The sequence below is a fragment of the Homo sapiens genome, chromosome 1, assembly GCF_000001405.40.
Source record: "Homo sapiens chromosome 1, GRCh38.p14 Primary Assembly".
NCBI lineage: Eukaryota > Metazoa > Chordata > Mammalia > Primates > Hominidae > Homo > Homo sapiens.
This window is the reverse complement of record NC_000001.11, coordinates 232,177,608-232,189,680: the sequence shown is the minus strand read 5'-3', so window position 1 is coordinate 232,189,680 and position 12,073 is coordinate 232,177,608. Positions and strand designations below refer to the sequence as shown.

General features: G+C 47.4%; 1 annotated feature.

Annotated features, from left to right (window-relative positions):
- Window positions 8,810–9,440: an enhancer, noted in NCBI's record as "H3K27ac-H3K4me1 hESC enhancer chr1:232315987-232316617 (GRCh37/hg19 assembly coordinates)". NCBI's record gives its function as "activates a minimal SCP1, AML or CMV promoter by ChIP-STARR-seq in primed H9 embryonic stem cells {active_cell/tissue: H9 hESC(primed)}" and the evidence as "EXISTENCE:reporter gene assay evidence [ECO:0000049][PMID:30033119]".

The window sequence follows — 12,073 nt, the reverse complement described above, 5'->3', positions numbered from 1 at the left end:
GCTTTTTCTGCATGCTGGGCAAGCAGACCCAAGTTTAGCTTGGTAACGAAAATCGAGTGGAAACTACAGGGAATTCCCATGTATACCCAGTCCCCACACACTGCACAGCCTTCGCTACTATCAACATCCTCCACCAGAGTGGTCCATTTGCTGTAATTCATTAGCCTACCTTGACACACCATCACCCACAGTCCACAGGTTTCATGAGGGTTCACTCTTGTTGTACATTTTATGGGCTATAATGACATGTATCCAATGCTACAGTATCATACAGAATATTTCACTGCCCTGAAACTAACTTATTTTTCAAGATCGAAAACAAAGCCTTCCTTCTTTAATTCAGCTTTTATTTAATAAGCCTTTAGTGAGTGCTGACTCTGCTGTGGGCACTAGAGACACAAAGCTGAACAAGACCCAGACTCTGACCTTAGGATATAATAATAGAGCAGGAAAGAGAGACAAAAGTGTGATACAGTAACTGTGTATACAGTATACTATGACACCTTGGGTCCAAGAGAACATTAGTTGGAACAAATATTCCCTTAACAATTTCCAAGTATTTTTACTCTTTTATACACACTATAACTTTTGATCCATAATTTCATTTGCCTCTTGTACTTCCTGTCCAGAAAGGGAATGATGTTTCAGATAAATCACCAGCGCCAGTTCCTAGGCTGATCTCCCAATATCAGTGAATAAATTAGTCTTTTGAAATCAAAAGCGTTGGACTGCTAAATCCTGTATCTTCCGAATTGAGACACTAGTCTTGGAATTCAGTGGTCCTACCAATAAGCCTGGAGTTCCAGGGGGGCACCTCAATCAAGGTACAACACTCCCTTGAGGCCTTTCTTCCAGCTATAAATATGTAAGGAAGCCTGTGAAGTTTACTGCCACTACAAATTCCCTAGGGGACATATGTTTATGCAATCAATATGCAGATAAGTGGAAAATGAAGGTTCTCCATCAACATGGAGTATTGTAGAACCAGTTATCAGGGACACCTTCTGTGATGAAGCTGAAAAAACATCTGACTTTACCAACAAGGTAGAGAGGGCTTGTTAGCTACTTAGCTTGGAGTTTAAAGGAAGGTAGTTTCATTAGTCTTCAGGCTTGCTTCTCAGATCTCTGCATGAATCACAGTTCCGACAGAGCAAATTCCAGTAATTTCATTTCAGAGTGAGTCCCTGCCTTGCTCAAGTCCCTTCTCAACCTGCTTAATTGCCACCCCCTGGCAAAAGTGCCGCAGCCTGCTGCCACTTTCCTCACACTTCATGAAATCAAAGTTAAATTGATGGCCCTTTAACATTCTTGGTGTTCACTGCAGAAAATATATACCTCCAAAAGAAAACATCTTATAGCATGGCAAAAAATATTATCTCCCCTACTAAAGACCCGAATTACTGAAACGCTGTGGCCTAAAGGGGAGATTTTGGTGAACTGATGTAAATGTCATGCTTTGAGAATAATCACACCCGAGGCTGTAGCTTTATTAAATTTTCCTACTGAACTTTGATCTGTAAAGTATTCTGGTGAAAGTCCTGGAATTTTGGACCCTAGTAACCAACTTAAGATGGGTTTGTTTTATAGACTTGGAAGAAGAGCTTCTTCTAGGGGGGTTCTTCATTACGGACAGGGTCTCGCTTTTGTCTCACAGTTCCATCATGCAGTCATGGCAATCACACAGTCAGAGAGTGCTCCATGTAACAGTCTTTAAATGACAGTCTAGCTATTGGCCAAACCAACTATGCACCTAGTAGACATACAGCCTAGCACATGCAAAGGATATTCTGGAGTGTACAGTGAAGGGAAGCAGTGCTTGCAGAGAGCATGCCACCGGCTGCCCAGTATCAGGCAAGACATGAGAAGCATAGAGAAACCCAGGCACCACCTTTGACTCCAAATCTGACAGTCCAGATAGTAGAAGCTTCACTAAAATCTTGAGTAAATATTAACTCTGATTAAGGATCCCTAGTAAAAATGGCTACTCTCTTGCTTGTTAGGAAAGTGTGGATTCCACATTAGAGGAGGTGGGCTCAGAATCGAGCTGAAATTGAGGAAGATGTTGCAGTGTTATGAATGGAGGTGAAAGAGATTATAGAAACCTTATGGGAATGCATGCAGACCAGACTGGGTAGTAAAGAAGATGATGAGAAAATTAACTAGAATGGAGAGAGAGCCACAATAATCATAAAGAATGCTTATACGGGATAGTACTTGCTATGGGCCAGGCACTGTTCCAAGAACCTTATACATATTTAATTCATTTAATCCTCACAGCACCCTCATAAGTATATGCCAAACATACGCTCCTTTTCAGGTGGGGAAACTGAGGTCAGAGGTACTAAGTGACTTCCCTGAGGTCAGACAGGTGATAAGTAGCAGAGTTGGGATTTGAAACCACCCCACTGGTGTGAATGCTCTCAGCACCCACGTTACACTGCTTCCCAGGGGACCAAGAGCAGAGAGGCACAAAGAGGCTGTCAGAGTGGATGGCAGAACAGCATCCAGATGGCGCATGCGACCCCAGAGGGGCTGAGAGCAGGGAAGCAGCAGAAGCATTCCAATTGCTTAGTCACCCTAGGGGGACTCAGGAGGACAGTGCCTCAGGATGTTTTCTAAGAGCCCAGGCTGATCCAAAGAGTAGGAAAGGAAAGATTCCAGGATACAATCTAAGATTTGTGGGGAAATAGCCACCAGTCTCCCTATTTCTACTCATTCCTCTCTGCTTCTCACCCCCATGTTTTCTTTTCTTCACAAAGCCTTATATTTTGCTTAAATAGCAGGGGTACTAGTTTTCTAACCAAGAGCCCTGACTCATATTTCAATCCAGTTTAGAAGCTAAGTGAGAAACAATTATACCCCTGGGAGATTTTTATTTTTTATTTTAAATTATTTATTTTTTCTGGAGACAGGGTCTCACTCGGCTGCTCAGGCTAGCGTGCAGAGGTGCAATCATAGCTCACTGCAACCTTCATCTCCTGGACTCAAGTGTCCTGTTGTCTTAGCCTTTCAAGTAGCTAGGAGTACAGGCACACTACCACGTCTGACTAATGTGTGTGTGTTTTTTGTTTTTTGTTTCTTGTTTTTTCTTGTAGAAGCAGAGTGGCTTGGCCTTGAACTCGTGAGCTCAAATGATCCTTCTTCCTCGGTCTCCCAAAGTGCTGGGATTACAGGCATGAGCCAATGATCCTGGCCTCCAGTTGCCTTTAAATCTGTTGGAACTAGGCCTTAGACAAGCCTGGTGAAGAGGGACTGAGACCTAGAAACTCAATAGCCCTTTGCCAGGAGCAAGTTGGAACAGTCCCAAGGTGGACTGGGTGGGGAAACATGGTAGAAAGCAAGGCCAGGTGGGTAGAGGGTGGCTCTAGAGACTGGCTACTGCACAGGGGGCAATCCAGGCAGGTGGTGAGAAACTGGGAACCCCAAAGGTGATATCACGTCACCTAGGCAGGGCATGGTGACAGGGGCACCCAGCAGACAGCAGGATTCGATGTCTACAAAATTTGTCTACAAAAGCAGACTCTCTGTCCCCAGGGAGAAGTTTTTTGAAGATAGGAAAGTAGAGTCTCAGCCTTGGGAAAACTAAAGAATGGGCAGATTATCAAGAAGGAAACTCAAGCCTAGGAATCAAGGCAGGGGCCACTTACCAGACCCTGACTTAAGATGGGGGGTTTGTCATGAAAACAACACTGGAGCTCTGTTGGTTAAACTGAGATTCTAGTGAGGATGGGTGAAATGAAGCCGGTTGGATCACCTGCGTGGCTGAACTGATGTTGCAGGTGACCCCGGCCGCAGCTGGAAAAGGGGTGTTTAGGAGCAGCATCCCAGGTAAGTGGATTCCAGCGACCCTTCCAAGACACACTCAGCACATCACACAGCCCCCGCCCAGGAATGCAGCTGCAGCTGACCCAAAACCCAGAAATGTCCACTGGCTGCCTATGACCTCTAGACTCAAGGGGTAGGTGCAGAATCAAAGGCTTCCCTGCCGTGGAAGGAGCCCAGAGATTGTGGGCGTGAACTCCCTTGGCTGTAGTTGGGGTGTGGTGGGTGCAGGGGTCATTTCCTTCCAGATGCTTCTTCTGCGATCTGAGAATTGGAGGAACTGTAAACCTGAACTTCAAACAAATAAACTGGATTTTTGAACTGGTGCCTTTTTTTAGCCTTATTTTTAGGGACAACAGGGAAGATGCACAGGTGGACTCGATCTGCTTCTCAAAGTGGGGCCATGGGGCACCTGATCAAAATCAATTGGACGACGACAGGTTAGGGACCTGGACTCGACTGAACTGGAAGCTCTGAGGGTGAGGCCTAGGAAGCAGCATTTAACACCCACGCTGCAGGGGACCCTAAGCCCACTCAGGACAGAGAAGCTTGGCTTAGGGAGTAGGCACATCCCAGGCCACCACCCTGGTGTGGTTCCCCTTTCATCTGTTCCTCAGTCCAGGCAATGGAAATGCAGGGCATCTCCGCCACTGGGAGTGACCCCACGCCTGGGGTGAGTATTTTGGATTGGTGATTCCACTTTAGCTGCCAAATGTGAGCAATCCCAGAGAGCCTGTGAAGTTCCCTCTGCAAACCGCATCTGAGGAAGCAAAAGGAATCAAATTATCCCCACTTGGCTCTGCATTAAATGGAGCTCAAAATATTTCCCCCAGATCCACCTGTTTAAGGGAGAAGCATATAAATTCAGGCTATTGTTGTCACTTCCACCCACTTCCCAGTTTATATCCCTTTCTGGGGCGCTGCCATCACAGATGTTGGAGACACGTAGAATGTCACAAAAACAGGAATGCTGATGTCAACTGATGAAAGGGAAGTGATTCTGTTATTTCCTCATTCTTTAGGAACTGAAGCGGGCATTGAGAGAAAGCATGTGCATGGGTGTGTGTCACGCCTCGTGTCCCAGCCTCTCGCCGCATGCTTGGCATGTGGGAAGAGTCAGTGAATGCGTGCTGGGTTAAGGTAGGAGGAAAGCTATGTGTCACCTGGGGCTCCGGAATCCCACACTGGCCTCCTGCATTGGCAGGGTATAGGGTGTCTCAGTCCAGAATCACCTGGCACAAGAACCGTTCTTCCTAGCTCAGGGCAAAGTGGATTTCTTGGAGGCTACAAGGGTAGCTCAAAGAACCCAACGACAGGGCATGCAGCAGGCCCCACGTGGGACCACAACTGGGGTCTGGAGAGTCAAGGACAGGGGTCTGTTAAGCCACTTGATTCAGGGCTGCTGAGCTCATCTCTGCATCTCTGCCCCCATCTGCCTTATGTGTGTGTGTCTGTCTCTCTGTAGACACAATGTCCTCATTTCTCTATGGAAGATCCAACATGGCTGCCCACCTCCCACCCGTCTCTGTGTTAAATCCCTTCATATTTCAAGACCCCAGAGGAAATTACGTGAGTCTCTTGGTTCAAATTCCACAAAAGAGGATGAGAGAGGCCCATCTTAGTGGGGGTGGGGGGAACTCAGTGTCCAACCTGGATTCAATCAACTCTGGGTTGGGGCAGGCTCCCTCTTCCCTCTGTCTATCTGTCTGCAGAAGACTCCCTGAAAAGGGGTCTGGCAGGTTCTGTAAGAAGGGGATGAGCAGTCAGAGGGAGACACCTACCTGAGAAAGTGAATAGCTTCTCTTGGGCACTCACATATGACTGTGATGCTCAATAGAGCCTACACCAGTCCTGGCTGTCACTGGCATCTCTTCATAGAGGAGAGGCAGTCAGTCTCACACATGTTAGAACATGTGTTGCTCTGTAGAATTGAACATAATATCATATTACTCTTTCCTCCCCATCACTCTCTCCTCCCTGCAGCCTAGCCCTCCCTGTTGGATTGTGCTAGCCACCCAGAAACCTGGGCATGGTCAGAAGTAGGGCTTGCACCCTCTTTTCAATCCCTCAACATAGCTTTAGGACAAAGGTTTATGTGCCATCCTCTTTTTGGCTGAGACTCTGCTATATTTTGTTACAAAGAAACAGAACAGTGTTGTAAAACTGCGAGTGGTGCCCTTCCCAAAGTGACCATCCATGGCGAGTGCTTGCTTCTGCTAATTTCAGCACCGGACCTGCTCCCATGGCTGAAGTCCACACACACTGGAGCCCACTGAGCCGGATGAGAGTCAGGAATGAATGGAGGTCGGGTTCCATTGTACTCTCCCCTGTGCAGAACCTGTCATGGCCATTTGGTTTGTGCTCCGCAGCCTCGGTGTTTCAATATTTTATGAATGACACCTTCCAAGACTTGCTGGCCCACTCTGAGACCGCCTGCCTCCCTGACATCCTGATGTACTCTCAGGAAGAGGCTCTGCACATGGAGAAGCCCAGATGGTATTGGCTCCCCTCCACTATCTCCAATGCCTTGGCAAGCTAGACAAATGCAGGTTTCTGACCTCATGAAAGGAGGGTTATTAGGGTATTTTATCTCTCTGTGGAACATTTGCGTGCTGCCACCCGCCCGATCCCGCGCCCCTCCTTCGGTCAATGATGACCTCCACTGAGAGCATTCTGACTGTCAGCACCTGACCTCCAAGGCTTCCTGGAGCTCACGGGCCCTTGATGAAGCATTCACTCCCTTTCACTTTTCAGCCATTATGGACATTTCTATAAAAGAAACATGCCTTCTAGTGGTCATCTGAATCTTACAAAGCCTTTGCAACCATAAGGCTTGAGAACCGCCCAGCCTCTTGTGATGAAGCCAATGCAATGGACAAAATGTAGGATCAGTGTTTCCCCTGCCTTCCCAAATCCCCTGAGTTCTCTCTAGAGCAGGGCTGCCCGCCCTTGGAAAAGACCCTGGCCATTGAAGTACATGTGGTCCTGGCATCTGAGTACAATCCAGAGAGGGGTCCAGAGCCTACTTCCAAAGGGAGCGTGCCCACTCCAGGGGTGCACAGACAGCCCCAAGGGCAAGGGAAGAAACGTTAGAAAGTGACTAGCTTTTTCCCTATCTTCCTGCTCTACTGACATTGAATGTACATAGTGAGAGTTGCATATGTATAAAATGAATTTTTAAATTTTGCTCTTTTTGTCTCTGATGGAGAGCAAGATCCAGAGCATTTGGAGACCAGTGATTCAGAGCAGAATTCTGGAAGCAGAGTTTGCTGTGAGTCTCAGCTCTGCTGCTCTGTAATTGTGTGGCTCCGGGCAAGGGGCTTATTCCCTCTACATCCTCATTTTCTCATTGACAGAGTGAACTTGGCAGAAGACCCTCGCTCGTGAGACTGCTGCGGGGATGACACGAGATGGTACAGTGTGAGCTCAGTGCCTGGAACCCTGGAAGCCCTGGATAAACGTCAGCTGCTGTTATCACTGTTACTGTCAAGTCAATTCCACGTCAAACAGCAGAAGCTGAAGCCCTCGGGATGGCTCCCAAGCTCTGCTGGAGTCTATATGTGGAACTTCTTCACCCATTTCCAGTTCCTACTCCAGGGTCCTTGAGTTAGCATGGACAATCCAGTGAACAGGTACCTTTCTAGGAAGACCGCCCCATCTATGTTTCGATCCAAAACAAACAAACAAACAAACAAACAAAGAAAAAACCCCAAAAAACAAAAATAAACAGACATTGTCTGCTGGCCACACCTCAATGGACCTCCTGTCTGGTCCTGTCTGGTCCCACCTGGAAGTGGGGTTGGTATGAAGTTTCAGCATAATGTCCCACAGCTTGGATGCTGACCCCAGAGGGGAACCCACAGACTCAGAATAGTTATCCTGTGTCCACTCCTTGGGCCAGCCCACATTCGCCCCATTACAATAGCATTAGGTGCGAAAACAGACACGCAGGCTCTATGGGCAGGGGGAGCCCCTCATATATGAGACCTGCATTGGCAGGTTGTGCACCTGATTGGCCTGGGTGTTCCTCTGGAGTTGGGCAGATCTGAGTTTATCTCCAGTCTTCCCACTCCCTGGCTGGCTCGTCAAACTTATTCCATTTCTCTGTGCTAGTTGGGATAATTCTGCCTGCTGTAACAAATGAACTTCAAAATCTTGGTAGCTTGGCATAATAGAAGTTTACTTTTTATCTGCATTTTCATTTTAATCCAAATGCTCCTGGTTGGAGGACAGCTTCCCTCTACACCCTGATTTGGGGAACCAGTCTCTCTGGTCTTGTGGCCCCACCACCCATGAGGGCCTCTGCATCCTCAGCATCCAGCGAAGAGATGAGGTGAGAGAAAGTGGAGAAGGATGCAAGGAAAGCTGGGAAGCGTAGTCCTTGGACAGGCAGCTGCTTGTCAGAGCAACTGAGAACTCTCTTCTAGAAAGTGGGGACAAATTCTGGTGGAAAGTAACCTAGCTGCCACACTTTGTAGGCCACAGTGTCTTCATCAGTAAACTGGGGATGATGACAATGAATGGGGATCCTGCAAAAAAGGTAAGCTGCTGTTGTTAATTAGGATTTAGACCTTGCTATCATCATTTGCTGAAGTTGAAAGCAAGGCTGCACCTTGAAAATGGATCCAGATTCCTTTGGGGGCTGATTTCTGGATCTTCAGCAGAAATTCAGGTGCACAGCCTTGGTCTGAGCCCAGAGATCAGTTCACCTGGCTGTTCTATTCTCCCACTGTTTCCCACCAGGATGTGCCTCACGCATTTGCTCCACACTGAACCCCCACACTTCCCCTTCCCAGCATCTTCATCTTTTCTGGCGCTGCAGCCCAAGGACCTGAGCCCTGGCCTCGGTCATGTATGTGCTGCTGCAATATCCCCAGCCCTCCTGGCTTTGCCTCTAACTGGCCTGGATACAGCTCTGCCCTCAGGAACAGACCCTGTAGGACACAGGCAGCCAGTTCATTGAGGTGTTTGAATTCAGTAGGAATTCAAATGTGACTTTTTTTTTGTTCTTATTCACTCCCTTCAACTATGCCCTTTCCCATCACTGAATGACATTTGGGGCAGATTTTATAACATTCCACTCACTTTCAGTAACTGAAACAGCCAAGGCCCATTTCAAGTATCTATTTATTTCACATCCATTCGAATGACAAATTCCCCTCCCTCCCCCACCCTCCCACGGGCCAGGCTGTAGCCAGGAAGCCTTGGTACAAAGAGCAAAAGAGGTTGCTCTCCTCTCCTACCCACCTCTCTCTTCCAGGTCCCTCCTTCCTTCCAATTTGCTTGGGAACAAAGGATTTGAAAAAGGACTGTTCTCCCTTGTATATCTGGCTGCCTCCACCCTGTCTCTGGCCAGGACAGCTTGCCTGAGGGTTGGGGGGCAGGTGCTGGCCAGCTTATGGAGCACACAAGGAAGATCCACGTTACCTCCCCCACTTCCAAACCCCTCTGCTCCCACCCTCGGCATTGCCCCCACAGCCTGTTGCTCCTGGGGTCCTCGCTCCCACAGCAGCCTTCTCCAAAGGCACACTGGTGAGTCAGCCAAACCAGCAACCTCTGCAGCAGCCACGTGGCCCACACTTGGCCATGCCCATCTGTGGGAGCACCGGCGGTCCCAGCCATGCCTCCTTTCTCTGCTCTGCCTTTTGCCTCACATCTCCTCTCCACCTGCTCAAACAGCAAGTCTGTTTGAGCAACAGACCTTCATCCTGCTAAGGAAATGCCTATCTCTTCTGGCCAGCAGCCTTTCCCTGGGAGGAGTTCCCTGTTTACCCTCCCTTGCTGGGGAGAAGGCAGAGCATCGCAGGGGACTTGGCCTCACAAAGGACACAGTGAGATGAGTCCTTCAGGGCAGGGCTGCCAGGAAACAGCCATAGCTTTGCTGGAAGAGGGACAGGAGACAATGACAATTGATCGAAGCCTCCAGCCCCTCCTGGGAGAGTTTGGCTGTTTCTTTGGCCTTGTCCTGATCTTTCCTGGACTCACCTCTGTCATCCAGCTGGATTTGCAGTGCTGGCTCAAATTGCTACTTGAAACCAGGGCCAGACCAGGCATGTGGGCACCTCTGGCGAGCTTGTAACTTGACATGCCATCAAAATAAGGCACTTTAAATGTTTGCACAATGAAAACTTACTAGGGCCAGACAGAAATGACAAACAGATTTCCTTTATTATTCCTTTTCATTGGCCAAGCAATTCATGTCCAAAAAAATTTTTAAATCAAAATATCTAGTAAAACATGCTCCATTATTTTCAATAATTCTCCTTCTCTTAAGATATCTTTCCTGTAGTTTCTTAAAGGAGGTAACTCTTAGGAGGCATATCCAATAATTTGAAATATAAACAACAAAACTCATTCTTAATTCATAGCACCACATTGTACTTTGTTTCCAAAATTTCTACTGGCCTCAGCTGTCAGCTTTTAGCATATGTAAATGCACGTGAACACAACTAATGCTCAGAGAAGGATGGAAATTCTACCTAAGTGAGAAAAACGAATGGACTCTTCTTCCTTCCTTCCTTCCTTCTTCCTTTCTTCCTTCTTTCCTTTCTTCCTTCCTTCCTTCCTTCTTCCCTCCCTCCCTCCCTCCCTTTTCTCTTTCTTTCTCTCTCTGTTGTTTTATCTGCTTGTTTTGTTTGTTTGTTTACGTACTCCAGGTCTTACCCACCAAGGTCAGAGTAACAGTCATTTATACCCACACAGTAAGGTGAGGAAGGGTTTGGGGGACCTGAGTTAGCCAGGTAGATATTGGTGACAGTTTTGTGCCATCAGACAGCTGCCCAGCAGGCACATCCCCTTCTTTATCTGTTTTAGAAGAATCTTCCTCCCTTTCCTTCCACTCTGGCTCCCACCCTCACCCATGACTCTTCCTCTTCACTCTAATTCTTGGACAACTGTGCACAGTCTGGGCATGTCTCCTATGATGAGTTCCTGAACGCATTCTTGCTACTTCAACAGCTATAAAGTGTGTGTTTGGGAAGCAGGAATGTTGGATACCTGGATTCAAACTCGCCCAGCCTGAATCCAGGCTCAGCTTCCTCCTAGCTGTGTGGCCTTGACAAGGCATGTAACCTCCCTGCACCTAGGCTCAGTCAGCTGTGTGGCAGGCAATCATTCCCTGGCAAAATTATCCTGAGGATCCCAGTTAGCACAGGCACAGTGCCTGGCACTTAGGAGGCTTGTAGTGTAATCACTTGACAGATTTTTCCTGCCCACTGCACAGAAAGAAAAAGTTCACTGAGAATGTGGTATTGCCGTCAAGAAAGAGTTTATTTAATCCAAGGCCAGCCATGTGGATGAACAGGAGTTATCACTCAAATCAGTTTCCCCGAAGGCTCAGATGTTAAGGTGTTTCAAGGATAGTTTGGTGGGCAGGGGACTAGGGAATGGATGCTTCTGACTGGCTGGGAATGCAATCATAGGGGTGTGGAAAACAGCCTTCATGTGCTGAGTCTGCCTCTGGATGGGGGCCACAGAACTGGTTGACTCATGAGTCAACTCAATGAATACAGGTAGGACCAGTCAGTTGTCAGAATGCAAAGGTCTGAAAAACATCTCAAAAGATCAATCTTAGGTTCTACAATACTAATGTGATCTATAGGAGCAGACCTCTGGCCACATGACTCCTGAGCAATAAGGGTTTATAGAAACTATGCCTACGTTTTAGCAGAATTCAGGCCTCTCCCATAATTCTAGTCTTGTGACCTTTTTTTCATCTTACATAGGCGATTTTGGCTCCCAAACAAGGGCGGGAGCAGCTTTAGGGAAGGACTATTTTCACCTTTGCTTCAAAATTAAATTATAAACTAAATTCCTCCATGGTTGGATCGGCTTATGCCCAGGAATGAGTGAAGACAGGCAGTGTGTGAGGCTGGAAGCAAGATGGAGTCAGCCATGCTACAGTTCTCTCACTGACATCATCTTTGCAGAGGCAGTTTCAGCAACACATGGGTATCACTCTTCTTATGAGTTCTGTGGTAGCCTTCTTTGAAAAGAATATCAAAGTTCCTCTCTGTTTATGTAACAATCTCAGGCTCGTAGGCCTATGATTGCAAGACATCAGTTCTTTTTTTCCACCTTCAGTAGTTATTGTCTCAGAAAAGTCATGTCAATCCCTTTAGGTGGAATGAATAATAAAATGATTTCTAGTTGGTGTGAAACATGGATAGGGACCCAGTGCTGCGCACAACCCCCAGAGCCCCATCTCCTGCCCTGATGACATCATGCCAAACACACCAAAGGAGAAGGGAGA